The following is a 17,893-nucleotide window of genomic DNA, read 5'->3' as shown; positions in this document are numbered from 1 at the left end:
AAATCAAACTTTCCCCTTTCCATCCCTGTCCTCCTCTTTGCAATCCCATTTGGGTGGCTGAAGGCAGACCCTGACCAGAGCCATCCTTGCCGGCTTCTTTTGTCTTGCTCTGTGGGGAAACGAGTGAAGAAAAAAGCAGAAGGAAAGGCAAGTGAAATGGAGCCCTCTGTGAAGAACTACGACTAGGGTCACACAGAGCAAAATTCCTAGCCTTCCTTTGAGGAGTAGCCGTATTTCCATTTAAAAAGGACCCACTTTATGCAAGATTCAGGGCTGGGAATTGGTCCTTCCTGCCTCAAGAATTTCAAAGACTTCTAGAGGAGAGTGTCCAAAGACAGACAAGAAAGTGGCCAGTGCCCTGAAGAAAGTCAGGGGGTCCAGGGGAGTGTGAACCCTGAATATCTGAGACAGGTCTCAGTTAATTTAGAAAGTTTATGTTGTCAGGGTTGAGGATGTGTGTCGGTGACACAGCCTTAGGAAGTCCTGATGACATGTGCCCAAGTTGGTCAGGGCACAGCTTGGTTTTATACATTTTAGGGAGACATGAGACATCAATCAACATATGTAAGATTAACATTGGTTCGGTCTGGAAAGGCGGGACAACTTGAAGCAATGGTGGGACAACTCCAAGTGGCGAGGGGGCTTCCAGGTCATAGGTAGATAAGAGACAAATGGTTACTTTCTTTTGAGTTTCTTTTTTTTTGAGATGGAGGCTCGCTCCTGTTGCACAGGCTGGAGTGCAGTGGTGCGATCTTGGCTTGTTGCAACCTCCACCTCCCAGGTTCAAGCGATTCTCATTCCTCAGCCTCCCGAATAGCTGGGATTACAGGCATGTGCCACCACGCTGAGCTAATTTTTGTATTTTTAGTAGAGACGGGGTTTCACCATGTTGGCCAGGCTGGTCTCGAACTCCTGGCCTCGGGTGATCCATCCGCCTCGGCCTCCCAAAGTGCTAGGATTACAGGTGTGAGCCACTGTGCCCGGCCTCTTTTGAGTTTCTGATTAGCCTCTCCAAAGGAGGCAATCAGATAGCATTTATCTCAGTAAGCAGAGGAGTGACCGAATAGAATGAGACGTAGGTTTGCTCTCAGCAGTTCCCAACTTGACTTTTCCCTTTAGCTTAGTGATTTTCGGGCCCCAAGATTTATTTTCCTTTCACAGGTATCCCCTGTTCAGTTCAGACTGAACCTGAGGGGGTGTAGGGATGTACTCCAGGCTGGAGTGAAGTGGCATGATCTCGGCTCACTGCAACGTCTGCTTTCTAGGCTCAAGAGATCCTCCCAACTCAGCCTCCTGAGTAACTGGGATTTCAGGTGAGCACAACCATGCCCAGCTAATTTTTGTATTTTTAGTAGAGACGGGGTTTTGCCCTGTTTCCCAGGCTGGTCTGGAACTCCTGAACTCAGGTGATCCACCCACCTCGGCCTCCCAAAGTGCTGGGAATACAGGCGTCAGCCACTGTGCCCAGCCAAATTCTACGTCTTTTAAAAAATTAAGAGAAGAAATTAGTAAAATACACTTAAAGTTTTTCGTATGAAACTTATTTAGTGTTTCTGATGATTTGTTCTTGTGGATTGGACTTACAATCTGATGTGGTTCCTTTGTTTCAATGTAACTCCATCTTTTCCCTATCCTTTGTACCATTATTGTCATATGTGTGTGAGTGCATATATACACACACATTATCTTTAGATGTTACAAACCCAACACTGTAATTTTATAATTGTTGTTTTATGTAATTTCTTTTAAAACAGTTAAGAAATGAAAAGGAGCCAGGCATGGCGGTGTGCATCTGTAGTCCCAGCTACTCAGGAGGAGGCTGAGGTGAGGGGATCACTTGAGTCCAGGATTTGAGGCTGCAGTGAGCGATGGTCAAACCACTGCACTCCATCCTGGGTGAGAGAGTGAGACCTTGTCTCTCAAAAAAGAAAAAGAAAAAGAAGAGATTTGTAGTTTTTAGTTTTTAGTTTTTAAAAAATAATTACCAACATATTATTTTTTCTGATGCTGTTTGTTTCTTTTACAAATTTTACTTTTTTTAATGTAATATTTTTGAGATGGAGTCTTGCTCTGTTGCCCAGGCTGGACTACAGTGGTGTGATCTTGGCTCACTGCAGACTCCACCTGCTGGGTTCAAGTGATTCTTGTGCCTCAGCCTCCCAAGTAGCTGGGATTACAGGTGTGCGCCACTGTGCCTAGCTACAAGTTTTATCTTTAATTGACATACAATAATTGTTTTTCATTGGATTGGGATTATTATCTGGTGTCATTTCTTCTCAGTCTGAAGAACTTACTTTAGTATTACATTAGTGTTTCTTGTAAGACATATCTGCAAGAGATAAATCTCCCTAGTCTTTGTTTATGTAAGAATATGTTCATGTTGGCTTCTCTTTTTGTTTTCTTTAGAATAAATTTTGGTTTTGGAGACAGGGTCTCGCTCTGTTGCCCAGGCCGGAGTGTAGTGGCATGATCATGTCTCATTGCAACCTCAATCTCTCGGGCCTAAGAGAGCCTCCTGCCTCAGCCTCCTGAGTAGCTAGGACTACAGGTGTGCACTACCACACATGGCTAAATTTTTTTTTTTTTTTTTTTTTTGCAGAGACAGGGTCTTACTTTGTTGCCCAGGCTGGTCTTGAACTCCTGGGTTCAAGCGATCCTCCCACCTTGGCCTCCCAAAGTGCTGGGATTATGGGTGCAAACCACTGTCCCTGTACCGGTCTTCAGTTTTGAAGGATAATTTTTCTTGATGTAAAATTCTTGATTGCTAGCTTCTCCCCACTAACCCCCAAATTTGCATATGTTACTGTCTTCTTTAATTTTTTTTTTTTTTTGAGACAGAGTCTTGCTCTGTTGCCCAGGCTGGAGTGCAGTGGCACAATCTTGGCTCACTGCGCCTCCGCCTCCCGGGTTCAAGCAATTCTCCTGCCTCAGCCTCCCGAGTAGCTGGGATTACAGGCATGTACCACCACACCCAGCTAATTTTTATATTCTTAGTAGAGATGGGGTTTCACCATGTTGGCCAGGCTGGTCTTGAACTCTTGACCTCGTGATCTGCCTGCCTCAGCCTCCCAAAGTGCTGGGATTATAGACATGAGCCACGGCACCCAGCCCATGTTACAGCCTTCTAACCTCCATTGTTACTGATGAGGTTAGCTATTAAGATTATTGTGTCTGTGTGTATGAGTGTATTTGTATGAGATGAGTTTTTTCTCATTGCTTTTAAGATGTCATTTCTATTTTTGGCTGGTAATAGTTTCAGTATAATATATTAATGTTTAGGTGTGAATCAATTTTTTTTTTTTTTTTTGAGACAGAGTCTCACTCCATTTCCAGGGCTGGAGTATAGTGGCATGATATTAGCTCATTGCAACCTCTGACTCCGTGGTTCAAGCAATTCTCCTGCCTCAGCCTCCCGAGTAGCTGGGATTACAGGTGTGCATCACCATGCCCAGCTAATTTTTGTATTTTTATTGAGACAGATTTCACCATGTTGGCCAGGCTGGTCTCGAACTCCTGACCTCAAATGATCCACACACCTCAGCCTCCCAAAGTGCAGGGATTACAGGCATGAGCCACCGTGCCTGGCCGACAATTTCTATTGACTGTTTCTCCCTGCAAATGGATTGCATTTTCCTATTTCTTTGCCCTTTTGTAACTTTTTTGGAAAACTGAAAATTTTAGACAATATATGCTAGCTCTGGATTCCAATTTCTTTCTCTTGGGGGTGAAGGTGGTTGTTGTTTTGTTTGTTTTTATAGTGACTTGCCTGTACTAATTCTGTGGAGTCCCTTTCCCTTGCAGTATGAGGGTTCAGATATTTTTATAGTGACTTGCCTGTACTAATTCAGTGGAGTCCTTTTCCCTTGCAGTATGCAGTATGAGGCTTCAGATATTTCTGCTCAGATATTTCTGCTCAGGTTCCTTTTTGTTTTTGAGACAGAGCTTCACTCTTGTTGCCCAGGCTAGAGTGCAACGGCGTGATCTCGGCTCACTGCAACCTCTGCCTCCTGGGTTCAAGCGATTCTCCTGCCTCAGCCTCCCGTCCTTTTTTAATTCTTATTTTTATTTTTAAGCCTGAATTCTTAGGGGTTGCCCCTGGATCAGCATAGCTTAATGGTCAGCCAGTGATCTGTTAGAGTTTGTGCTTAAATGCCTTAAGCCAGTAAGGCTTCTAACCCTGCTGTTGGAGCTGTGTGTGATTTGGAGGGTACTTTCAAAGTTCAGAGAGTTTACAAGTGAGCCATGGCTTTCTCTTTATTTCTGAGACCTCATATTTAGTTGCAGGGAGGAGTAGCTTCCTATAGCCTTCTCAAGTCTCTCTTCTAAGCAGTTATAACCCTGTGTGCTGCACATAGCTTTTTAAACTACCAAAGTTAAATGGTATTTTACTAAGGCATTCTTTGTCTGTTTTGTTCCTTTGATTTCCCTTTTAAATTTCTGGCTAGTCTGCTATTTTGCTGCTTCTCCCAACCATTGTCATGACGCAGGCTAGCCACACCGTTAGGCTTTGCTAATGAATTCTTCTGTGAAAAAGTACTGCCACATCTTCCCATTTATTTATTTAAGAATTTCTTTTATCAATATGGGCTAATGGATACTTATTTTATTCTATGGGTTATAATCCAATTCCATTATTACTTATTTTGTTGCTCAAATTGTTTCCATTTTAACTATTGGAATTATTTCCAGTTGGCTCCTGTGTCCCTTTGATATGGTTCTCACCTTTTAATCGAGCATGTAAATACTTTCTGACATCATAGGATGCCCCAGTCCTAGAATCGACCGTTTCTCCAAGGAGCCGGAATGCCGTTTTGTTTTCAATTTAAATTTTTTTTGTGTAGAGATAGTGTCTCACTATGTTGCCCAGGCTAGCCTCGAAATCCTGGCCTCAAGCGATCCTCCTGCCTCAGCCTCCCAAAGTGCTAGTATTACAGGCGTGAACCACCATATCTGGCCTGTCAGATTCTTTTAATTTTTGGTTTTTAACTTTTTATTATTGAAAACTTAAAATTTATAAAAAATTAGAAAGAATAGCAAAGTGTTTCCATCACTCAGCTTCAACAATCATCCCTCCCTTAGAGAATCCTAGTAATCTGAACAGGAATGTGGATCAGCAAGGCCTGTTTAGGTGACTAAAGCAGTGAAAATTATCTCCATCAATTGTGTGGGATGAATTTTCAACAGCAACACCTATAGCAGAGAAAAGCAACAGCTTCTTTTCTGTTCTTAGCACTGAAGGGGACTACGAGTGTACCCTTTGGCTGTGGGGTGCTTAGACATTTCACAGGAAGCCCCAAGAGGTATTAGAATGGATCACTGGAAAAATAAAGTTGTGAATATATTTGTATCTTGGGTTTTTAGTGGAAGCTCACATTAGTTACAGTTATGACAAAACCTATTCTCTGTACACCCAAGGGTCTTTTTTGGTCACAAGAGAATATTTTCAAGGGGAATTTAAAAACATAAGAAACCACGTTTACGCTGGGCACAGTGGCTCATGCCTGTAATCCCAGCACTTTGGGAATCTGAGGCGGGCAGACCACTTGAGCCCAGGAGTTTGAGACCAGCCTGGCCAACATGGTGAAACCTCGTCTCTACCAAAAATACAAATAATAATAATAATAATAATAATAAAAATAAAGCAGGGCATGGTGGCGTGCACCTGTAGTCCCAGCTACTGGGGAGGCTGAAGTGGGTGGGAGAATTGCTTTAACTGGGGAGGCAGAGGTTGCAGTGAGCTGAGATTGTGCCACTGCACTCCAGCCTGGGTGACAGAGTGAGAGCCTGTCTAAAAAACAAACAAACAAACAAAAAACCACGTTTAGTCTGAGGAACAGTACCTCGTGGTACATTGCCATAATTAGTTCCCAAGAGAAGATTGAGTGTCAGGCCCTGGAGAGGCCTGGAGCACTAATCAGGGAACCAAGGCTGGGGAGGGTGGGGGAAGGCCCAGCTAGATCTTTCATTCCTGATCTTCTTTCTCACGATCCAAAGAGATGTACTTACTACTTTTTGTCATTATGTCTGTTAAGTATTTTTAAATTCACTGGTTCTCTCTCATTTTTTTTTTTAGCTTTAACTTCCGCTACAGTTTACCACAACTTCCTGGTTCCTCCCCTTTGTGGTCACAAAAACATTTCCTAGTTGAGATACATTTTCTTGACTTGAGTCTCCTTTCTCTGGTTCATTTGGTGCCTTTATCAACTCTATGCATAGTGAGGTTTTAAGTCTTTATAAAGATCATTGGCACATGAGGGGGTCTGCAGCCTACTGTCCTATTTACTCAGTTTGGTGTTATTCTACTATATTTGTGATGTCAGGAGCCACACTGTCTGGAAATGATGCTGGGAGGTCATTCTGGGTTGCCTGAAAAACAAACTCATTAGAACCTGGGGCTCCCTCTTCTTCCAGTGAGTGGGGTTTCCAAAAGTTAGAATCCAGTGGAACCAGGGGTGTTTTTCTCACTCCTGGCAGAGGGACGTGTGACTAGCCATGGGCCCCTAGGTCTCCAGTTCCTGGGTAGCTTGTATTTTTGAACATCTCCTGTATATTAGTTATCATTACAGCATAAAAATTGTCCTAAAATAAGTGGCTTAAAACAACACACCCTTATTATCTCACAATATTTGAAGGACAGCAATTCAATACAGCATAGCTGGGTCCTCTCTTCAGGGCCCCTCAAGGCTGCAATCATAGTTGGGGTCTTCCCTGAAGACTCAACTAGGAAAGGATGAGCTTCCAAGCTCACTAACTTAGTTGTTGGTAGGAAGCACGAAGGGTGGTAGGACTGAAGGTTTGGTTCCTCTTGAATGTTGAGTTGAGAGCACTCTCAGTTCCTCACCACATGGACCTCCTTAACATGGCAGCTTGATTACTTGAGTCAGTAAATGAGTCTGCTAGCAAGATAAAAGCCACAAACTCTTATTGTCTACTCATGGATATGATAGACTTTCACCTTTGTCATATTCCATTGGTTAGAATTAAGTGACAAGGTCCATACCAAACTCAAGGTGGGAAGGATTCCACAAAGACTCGAATACTAAGATGGGGGATCACTGGAGACCATCTTAGAAGTCAGGTTAGCACAACCTGTCAATAACTGACACTCTAATCAAGAGTGCTAGGTGCCTACGCTGTTTGTGTGCCTCTTCATTGATAAGGCTGCTCTCATGCTTGACTCATAATGGAGAGCAATAACACACTGCCTCATCCCTCCCCTCCACCTGCATGTCCAGTAGTGTGCCTGGTTTGCTCTTCTATGGAAAAATAAAAGGAATTGGACTCATGCTTTCTCTTTACTTGCTGACACTGAATTGAAAATTCCCTCAAAAGCCTATTTCTTAACCCATAGCATGCGATATTCTGGCTTTTATCCTGAGCCCTGGTGAACAACAGGTGGTGACCCCAAGGGACCTGCTTTGCATGACAGCCTCACACCTGGTTTTCCTCTCAGTCCTCTCCCAGTCTCTCCTCTTTGCCTCATAAGTTTAGTTACACCCCGAACACTGTCTTTTGGCTATTTTATGGATCCTGTTTGCAGCTTGAGGCACAGGTTATTCCTGCCCTTTGCCCACCATCTGCTCCTGGGACCCCAGCCTGAGTGGAAGAGGTCTTGGAGTGTGGCTTGGACATTATTAATCAGGTTTTCTCCACACCAGCACACATACACACCCATGTGCACACAAACACACAGGCACACCCCCCACACACATGCATGTGCGTGCACACACACACACATGCATGTCGACACACACACACACTTTGTTGTGGAATCTGGTGCCTGTGGTCTTATGTATTTTCGCAGGAATTTGTGCTTAATGGATATTCCGAGCAGTCTTCATTGGTTACCCACGCCCACTGTTATGCTTTATGAACAAACTCATGCATTCTTTCCTAAATAGACTGCATATTTCCTTTTCTTTTCTTTTCTTTTCTTTCTTTCTTTTTTTTTGAGACGGAGTCTTGCTCTGTTGCCCAGGCTGGAGTGCAATGGGGGGATCTTGGCTCACTACAACCTCCGCCTCCTGGCTTCAAGCGATTCTCCTGCCTCATCCTCCCAAGTAGTTGGAATTACTGACGCCCTCTACCACGCCTGGCAAGTTTTGTATTTTTAGTAGAGACAGGGTTTCACTATGTTGGCCAGGCTGGTCTCAAACTCCTGACCTCAAGTGATCCACCTGCCTCAGCCTCCCAAAGTGTTGGGATTACAGGCATAAGCCATGGCGCCTGGCCATTTTTTTTTTTTTAAGAGACAGGGTCTCATCTCACTCTGTCACCCAGGCTAGAGTACAGTGGCATGATCACAGCTCTACTCTACTAAAAATACAAAAATTAGGCCGGGCGCAGTGGCTCACACCTGTAATCCCAGCACTTTGGGAGGCCGAGGTGGGTGGATCACCTGAGGTCGGGAGTTCAAGACCGGACTGACCAACATGGAGAAACCCTGCCTTGGCCGGGCACGGTGGCTCACGCCTGTAATCCCAGCCCTTTGGGAGGCCAAGGTGGGCTGATCACCTGAGGTCAGGAGTTTGAGACCAGCCTGGCCAACATGGTGAAACCCCGTCTCTATCAAAAATATAAAAATTAGCCAGGCACAGTGGCAGACGCCTGTAATCTCAGCTACTTGGGAGGCTGAGGCAGAAGAATCCCTTGAACCCGGGTGATGGAGTTTGCAGTGAGCCATCCTCACGAGATCGTGCCACTGCACTCCAGCCTGGGCGACAGAGCCAGACTCCATCCCCCCCAAAAAAAAAAAGAAAAAAAGAAAACCCGTCTCTACTAAAAATACAAAATTAGCGAGGTGTGGTGGCACATCCCTGTAATCCCAGCTACCTAGGAGGCTGAGGCAGGAATTGCTTGAACCTCGGAGGTGGAGGTTGCGGTGAACCAAGATTGCGCTATTGCACTCCAGCCTGGGCAACAAGAATGAAACTCCATCTCAAAACAAAAATAAAAATAAAAATACAAAAATTAGCCAGGCGTGGTGGCAGATGCCTGTAATCCCTGCTACTCAAGAGGCTGAGGTGGGAGGATTGCTTGAACTTGGGAGGCGGAGGTTGCAGTGAGCCGATATCCCGCCATTGCACTCCAGCCTGGGTGACAGCGTAAGACTCTGTCTCCAAAAAGAAAAGGGAATCCTACCTCCTGAGGGCCTCTGTTACTGTAATTTCTAAAAGTGCCCCACCTGACCCTTGAACCTAATCAACTCAATGTTAAAAGTCATAGCATAGTAGCTAATGCTCATATAGCCCTTTATGGCATTGTCTTACACACTGGCATCCAGCCAGTGTGCACTAGTACAGCCAATACTGATTGTTACAGAAAATAGAATGGTTATCGTGATAGGTGGTAAAATTAATAAGTACTAGAAATTCTAATATCTCATTAACTAATTAACTATTTGTCTTAGTCTATCACAGTGATCATCAATGGATGGGTCTCCTGCACTGCAGCATCTGAGAATCATTTATGGCACCACCGGCTGGTTCAGCCATGTCACCATTGTACATTCATTGTTTTGTGGTTTAGGAAAATCATCAGTTAATTGTTATCCTCACATGCTGTAACTTATAAATAGTATATTTGTTTGGCTTTTCCTTGTTTCTATTGTTATTGTGTTATTATTCATCTGGAAATAATAACTGTGCAGTGTTTTGATATCTATAAATTCAAGAACTTAGAATAGTAAACAGTAAGAGTGAAGTGACAAAGTTTAAATACATTTTATTTATTTATCTATTTACTTATTTTCTGAGATAAGAGTCTTACTCTGTTGCCCAGGCTGGAGTGCAGTGGTGTGATCTCGGCTCACTGCAACTTCTGTCTCCCAGGTTCAAGCGATCTTCCTGCCTCAGTCTCCTGAGTAGCTGGGACTACAGGTGTGTGCCACCACACCCACCAAATTTTTATATTTTTGTTTTATTTTATTTTTTTTGAGACAGAAGGGTTTTTTTTTTTTTTTTTGAGACAGAAGGGTTTTTTTTTTTTTTTTTTTTTTGAGACAGAGTTTCACTTTTGTTGCCCAGGCTGGAGTGCAATGGCGAAATCTCAGCTCACTGCAACCTCTGCCTCCCGGGTTCAAGCAATTCTCCTGCCTCAGCCTCCCAAGTAGCTGGGACTACAGGCATGTACCACCATGCCTGGCTAATTTTTTGTATTTTAGTGGAGACGGAGTTTCACGATGTTGGTCAGGCTGGTCTTGAACTCCTGACTTCAGGTGAGCCACCTGCCTTGGCCTCCCAAAGTGCTGGGATTACAGGCATGAGCCACCGCGCCCAGCCGATTTTTGTATTTTTAGTAGAGATGGGGTTTCGTCATGTTGGCCAAGCTGGTTTCAAACTCCTGACCTCAGGTGATCCATCAGCTTCAGCCTCCCAAAGTGCTGGGATTACAGGCATAAGCCACAGTGCCAGGCCTACATACATTTTAAACATTGCTTTTAGATACTGTAAACATGACTCTTCTGAATCTGAGACAAATCATGAAACCAATGGTATTAATATTGAATCACAGCCTGGAACAACTGATATGCAAAGATTATGGCAGGTGGGAATGCTTTCAGTATTGCATAAGATTCAGTTCAAAGGAAACAATAATTCACATTTCTAAAATTTAATTAAAAACCTGATAATTGGCCAGGTGTATTGGCTCATGCCTGTAATCCCAGCACTTTGGGAGCTCAAGGTGAGTGAATCACCTGAGGTTGGGAGTTCGAGACCAGCCTGACCAACATGGAGAAACCCTGTCTCTACTAAAAATATAAAATTAGCCAGGTGTGGTGGTGCATGCCTGTAATCCTAGCTACTGGGGAGGCTGAGGCAGGATAATCATTTGAACCCAGGAGGTGGAGGTTGCAGTGAGCTGAGATGGCGCCATTGCACTCCAGCCTGGGCAACAAGAGCAAAACTCCATGTCAAAAAACAAACAAACAAAAAACCCCTGATAATTTTGACAAAACTCACAGGTAGCTGATTATTGCTTGAAATGTAAATATTAAATGAAAACGATATGCAAAGCACACATCTTGTGGATGTGTGAAAAGGTGAATGTTCTAGCATATTGTCGGTGCTCAGAATTCAGGGAAAAACTAGTAATAAGAAGAATTTGAAGAATATTATGAATGAGCTTCACATAATGAAGTCTTTGAAATAATAAATCCCCTGAAATACTTTGTATCATAAAAAGAACAAAACATTGAAAAAGTACCATTAGAATGCTAATATTACCTACTGTGTAATTAGTCTACTGCTAAATAGAGTCTTAAAAAAGGTTGTAAATAGTGCATATCATTGCAGTCTACATTAATGGTTACAATGGTCACAAAACGTATATCTACCATGATGAGACAACTTTTTAGTAAATTTATAAATCTAGGCAATCAATCATCACCAAGAAAGCTTCAATTATGTAACAAAAAAAAATTTTTTTTTTTTGAGACGGAGTCTCACTCTGTCACCTAGGCTGGAGTGCAGTGGCGCGATCTCGGTTCACTGCAAGCTCCACCTCCCAGGTTCACACCATTCTCCTGCCTCAGCCTCCCGAGCAGCTGGGACTACAGGCGCCTGCCACCATGCCCGGCTAATTTTTTGTATTTTTAGTAGAGACGGGGTTTCACTGTGTTAGCCAGGATGGTCTTGATCTCCTGACCTCGTGATCCGCACACCTTGGCCTCTCAAAGTGCTGGGATTACAGGTGTGAGCCACCACGCCCGGCCACAAAAATGTGTTTTTATTAGTGACTTAAATACTAAATTTCAGACTTATAAAACTGATGATATAAAACTAATGATTTTTGCTCATCTGAGGAACTGAAATGATGTATCAAGCTTACTTACTCATCAGTGCTCAAGAAAAGTGGTTTTGATGTGAAATGGTTACACAATGCTACAGATGGTTCTAGTATATGTCACAGAGAAAGTTCAGAGAAGCCAAAGTTTTAGAGAAGTCTCTATATGGCCAGGCACAATGGCTCATGCCTGTAATCCCAGCACTTTGGGAGGCCAAGGCAGGCAGATCACGAGGTCAAGAGATTGAGACCATCCTGGCCAACATGGTGAAACCCTGTCTCTACAAAAAAATACAAAAATTAGCTGGGCGTGGTGGCATGCACCTATAGTCCTAGCTGCTTGGGAGGCTGAGGCAGGAGAATCGCTTGAACCTGGGAGGCAGAGTTTGCAGTGAGCAGAGATTATGCCACTGCACTCCAGCCTGGTGACAGAGCGACAATCTGTCTCAAAAAAAAAAAAAAAAAAAGTCTCTTTATATTTTAAATTGGTACTATATAAGTTACTGTATTCAGTGATGTCAGGATGATGCAGTAAAATGTTTAAATGAAAAATTACTTCAAATATTTGCCTCACTAAACTTTATATTCACAACTACATATGAAATAAGCATTTGGGAAAATTAAAAATATTTCTAAAGATACTGGAATTGAAGTCATGAAACTAGAAAGCATATTTGGGCACTCTGTAATAGTGGGATGCCAAGAGCATTAGGGAATTGTACCAAACCTTTTATATTCACTTTAATAGAAGTTGTGAAATGGGAGTAGTAAGTGTTTAGGACATAAACTTTTTTTCCCAGAAATTTGACGTTAATAACTTATATATTAACAGAGATGTCAATGTTATCTTTATCCTTTCCAGAGGAAATATTAAAAATTACAGAAGCTGGATTAATTGTAGAAAAATAAGAATCAGTTAATATATAAAATTAAATACATAAAGCAAAGGGGAAAAAGTAGATAGTATTGTTTAAAAATATGATATACCATTTGAAAGAAAAATGTCAACTTCAAGAGAAAAAGTCAATTAGATTATCTAATAATTTATGTGATTGCAATTGTAGTTTGATGACAAAAGTAAAATATATTAAGAACTTAAAATTTTTAAATTAAGTCAACCATGAAGGATGTTTACAAAGCTTCATAGATGTAACCAATTAAATCAAGACAATTTTTAATTTAATCAATACAATTAAGCCTACTTATTAAAGATGGCTTTTATTAATTGATTTTTGTGGTGGAGTGAACGGAGATATTAAATAATAAGAATTTCTAGGCCGGGCGCGGTGGCTCATGCCTGTAATCCCAGCACTTTGGGAGGCCGAGGCGGGCAGATCACAAGGTTAGGAGATCGAGACCATCCTGGCTAACATGGTGAAACCCCGTCTCTACTAAAAATACAAAAAATGAGCCAGGCATGGTGGCAGGCGCCTGTAGTCCCAGCTACTCAGGAGGCTGAGGCAGGAGAATGGCGTGAACCCGGGAGGAGGAGCTTGCAGTGAGCTGAGATCGCGCCACCGCACTCCAGCCTGGGCGACAGGAGACTCCGTCTCAAAAAAAAAAAAAAGAATTTCTAGGCCAGGCGTGGTGGCTCATGCCTGTAATCCCAGCACTTTGGGAGGCCGAGGCAGGTGGATCATTTGAGGTCAGGAGTTTGAGACCAGCTTGGCCTACGTGGTGAAACCCCCTCTTTACTAAAAATACAAAAAGTAGCTGGGCGTGGTGGCATGTGCCTGCAATCCCAGCTACTCGGGAGGCTGAGACAGGAGAATTGCTTGAACCGGGGAGGTGGAGGTTGCAGTGAGCCAAGATCGCACCACTGCACTCCAGCCTGGGCGACAGAGTGAGACTGTCTCAAAAAAAGAAAAAAAAAAAAGAAAGAAAAAGAATTTCAGACAGCAGTTCAAGGGCTAAAAAATCTTTAACATAGCTGCTAAAGTGAGAGAGGATTTGGCACCATGAACAATATAGTTGATTACATACGTCATAATATACAAACAATTTAATGGGGAAATTATCAGAAGCTTATACAAGGCTCTTTTGTCAAATCATGGCTAACATAGGCATATATCACTTAACCAATAATTACCACCTAAGAAATGCAAAAAATGTTTAAAAATCAATAAATAATTTGGAAATTGTTATAACTATTTAAGAAATTATTTATATTTCAACTGTGTCACTTGGTAAGTAGTTTTATAATCATTTAGTTAGGACAGAAAAATAGCATAATTGGGAAAATTTTATTTATATATTAATTTCCATTGCCATACCAGCTGTCAACTATTTTGAATAGTACTCTTGATCTCACATATAGTTTGCTTGTAGTAAGTATTGATTGAATGGTGTTTGATATAAATGAATGAAGATGACAGTCAGGACACCCAGGACAAGTGAAAGCAGGGCTGAAGGAATGTAAGGGTTGCAGTATTTATTGTCTTTTAGCTGAAATATTTAGAAACAGAAAGGGTAAGCGCACAGAGGAATAGCATAGCAGAAATCATGTGACTTTCTCATGTTAACCCTTCCCCTTGTCCAGACCCTATTTGTCCATATGGGCATCTCCATATAGAGACAAGACTCAGAAGGTTGGATAGCTATACTTCTTTGCCTCTGTTTTCAGGAAGCCAAGTCCTCTGTTCGCTTTGGTTGCCACCACTAACTCGGCGGCTGGGCTGCCCATGTGTAGACAGATGTCTTGAAAATATCAAGTTCCCTAAGCAGCTTGAACTGCAGGGAGGCTCAGAGAGGGTAGATTTCCTGAGCTGCTGACTTACTGCGGGACTGACTCAGTAAGATTCCAGGCACTAGGCAGAGCTAGTTAGGAAAGGAAACGTTTCCTGTTTGCCTCTGTGGGGAAAAAGAACCTACTCTTTGGACAGAGTCACCTGGCTCTAACACCAGAAAGGAAAGCGAGGCGGTGCATCCTCCAGAACAGCAGTAGGCAGGGCCACGGAGCATCCCACAGCCACCAGTGGGGCTGTCCTGCTGTTCTTGCAGTAGTGCCCTGTCTCCCAGAATCTCCCCCTGGTGCTATCTCCACCCTGCCTGAAAGTAGTGAGGAGGATGATGGGGAGAGAGTCAGACAGGCTGGGGTTGGGAAGAGTGAGTGCCCTTGATTTTTCTCTTATCCAAATTCAACTTTCATTTTAGTTTTCCCTCCAATTCCTCAAAGCAAGCATCGCTACTCTTAATTTCTCATATGGAACTACTTAGGGGTGGCAAAAACCTCATGGGACTGGTGGGGCTTCCTGTGCTTTTAATTGAAATGGTTTCTTTGTGGGTTCCCAAAGCTAAATTGTCCTTGCTCACACTGGAAGGAAATAAAGAAAAATAAGTATGATTATTGTACCAAGTAGTGGGATTACAGGTGAGGTTTTTCTTGTTTATTAGAAAATTCTTGGCCAGGCGCGGTGGCTCATGACTGTAATCCCAGCACTTTGGGAGCCGGAGGTGGGCAGATCATGAGGACAGGAGATTGAGACCATCCTGGCTAACACGGTGAAACCTCGTCTCTACTAAAAATACAAAAAATTTTCTGGGCGTGGTGGCATGCACCTGTAATCCCAGCTACTCAGGAGGCTGAGGCAGGAGAATGGCATGAACCCAGGAGGCAGAGTTTGCAGTGAGCAGAGGTTGTGCCATTGCACTCCAGCCTGGGCGACAGTGCGAGACTGTGTCTCAAAAAAAAGAAAAGCAAGAAAATTCTTTTCTTGTTTTTATAGATGTGCAATAAAAACAATTGGGAGAAGAAAGAAGAGTTGACCTGGATTTTCATAATGCAAAGAAAATGGCACCCAAATTCCCACCACAAGGATTTACATGTATTATCCAATTCAATTCATTCAGAATTCCGTGCAGTCAGTCAGATAATTGTTATCCCAGCTTAACTGACAGATGTTAGGAATGAGACTTGAAAGTGCTCAGCCAGGCTGGGTGCGTTGGCTCACGCCTGTAATCCCAGCACTTTGGGAGGCCAAGGTGTGTGGATCACCTGAGGTCGGGAGTTCGAGACCAGCCTGACCAACATGGAGAAACCCCGTCTTTACTAAAGGTACAAAATCAGCCGGGGCGTGATGGCACATGCCTGTAATCCCAGCTACTCCGTAGGCTGAGGCAGGAGAATCGCTTGAATCCAGGAGGCGGAGGTTGCAGTGAGCCAAGATCATGCCACTGCACTCCAGCCTGGGAAACAAGAGCGAAACTCTGTCTCAAAAAAAAAAAAAAAAAAAAAAAAAAAAAAAAAAGTGCTCAGCCAGGATCTCATACCAAGTCTGTGGTGGAGTGCCAAGAGCCAAGATGTCCTCTGCAGAAAGAATCACTTGGTTTTTTTTTTGGTTTTTTTTGTTTTTGTATTTTTTGGTGGAGATGGGGTTTCCCCGTGTTGGCCGGGCTGGTCTCCAGCTCCTGACCGCGAGTGATCTGCCCACCTCGGCCTCCCGAGGTGCCGGGATTGCAGACGGAGTCTCGCTCACTCAGTGCTCAATCTTGCCCAGGCTGGAGTGCAGTGGCGTGATCTCGGCTCGCTACAGCCTCCACCTCCCAGCCGCCTGCCTTGGCCTCCCAAAGTGCCGAGACTGCAGCCTCTGCCCGGCCACCACCCCATCTAGGAAGTGAGGAGCGTATCTGCCCGGCCGCCCATCGTCTGAGATGTGGGGAGCGCCTCTGCCCCGCCGCCCCGTCTGGGATGTGCGGAGCGCCTCTGTCCGGCGGCGACCCCGTCTGGGAACTGAGGAGTGTCTCTGCCCGACCGCCACCCCGTCTGGGAGGTGAGGGGCGTCTCTGCCGGGCCGCCCTGTCTGAGAAGTGAGGAGCCCCTCCGCCCGGCAGCCGCCCCGTCTGGGAAGTGAGGAGCGTCTCCGCCCGGCAGCCGCCCCGTCCAGGAGGTGGGGGGCAGCCCCCGCCCTGCCAGCCGCCCCGTTCGGGAGGTGGGGGGCGCCTCTGCCCGGCCCGTCTGGGAAGTGAGGAGCCCCTCTGCCCGGCCGTCACCCCGTCTGGGAGGTGTACCCAACAGCTCATTGAGAACGGGCCATGATGACGATGGCGGTTTTGTCGAATAGAAAAGGGGGAAATGTGGGGAAAAGAAAGAGAGATCAGATTGTTACTGTGTCTGTGTGGAAAGAGGTGGACATGGGAGACTCCATTTTGTTCTGTACTGGGAGAGGTTCTTCTGCCTTGGGATGCTGTTGATCTATAGCCTTACCCCCAACCCCGTGCTCTCTGAAACATGTGCTGTGTCCACTCAGGGTTAAATGGATTAAGGGCGGTGCAAGATGTGCTTTGTTAAACAGATGCTTGAAGGCAGCATCCTCATTAAGAGTCATCACCGCTCCCTAATCTCAAGTACCCAGGGACACAAACACTGCAGAAGGCCGCAGGGTCCTCTGCCTAGGAAAACCAGAGACCTTTGTTCACATGTTTATCTGCTGACCTTCCCTCCACTATTGTCCTATGACCCTGCTAAATCCCCCTCTCCGATAAACACTCAAGAATGATCAATAAATACTAAAAAAAAAAAAAAAAAAAAGAATCACGTGTACTGGTTGAAACAGCACCAATAAACAATTTAGGCTCTGAGTTGGACACAGTTTGGTAAATACATGTTCTACAATGTTCCATAGTCTTTCAGTGTCCCATGGGATATTTGTTCCCCCATAGAAAGCATAGGTAGAGGTCCTTTACATACCCTGCAGGGACGCTGATTTGCATGGGGAGGGCTGGCACACAGCCTCTGCTGGGTATGAACAGTACAAACCTCTGGAGGCTGTGCTCTGTTCAGGACTTGGAGCTGGTTGGGGACCTCCAATGCCCTGTGCTGACGGCTGGCCTGGGGGCTTCTCCTCACTAGGGTCTTCTCTCAGTCTCTCAAGGTGGGCACAGTCTCTCCTGGACACACAGGCAATGGGCTGGACAAGCATCTCTTTCCTCTAAGGCCCAGTCACCAAGTATTCCCTCCAGGGGACCGGGTTTGGAAATTTTCACTACATATAACAGCCCTTCTGTTGCCTCATATTTTCTAACTCTGGCGTGGTGGTTCCCAGTCTCTTTACCACTGAGGAAGCATAGGTGATTTCTTCCCTCCCTCTGTTTCAAAATGGTTTTAACTACC

General features: G+C 44.3%; 1 annotated feature.

Annotated features, from left to right (window-relative positions):
• Positions 617-1,394: an enhancer, noted in NCBI's record as "H3K27ac-H3K4me1 hESC enhancer chr6:30481847-30482624 (GRCh37/hg19 assembly coordinates)". NCBI's record gives its function as "activates a minimal SCP1, AML or CMV promoter by ChIP-STARR-seq in primed H9 embryonic stem cells {active_cell/tissue: H9 hESC(primed)}" and the evidence as "EXISTENCE:reporter gene assay evidence [ECO:0000049][PMID:30033119]".

Source organism: Homo sapiens, chromosome 6 (assembly GCF_000001405.40).
Source record: "Homo sapiens chromosome 6, GRCh38.p14 Primary Assembly".
NCBI classification, from domain to species: Eukaryota; Metazoa; Chordata; class Mammalia; order Primates; family Hominidae; genus Homo; species Homo sapiens.
Note: the sequence above shows the minus strand (reverse complement) of the source record. Positions and strands in the feature narration are given on the sequence as shown.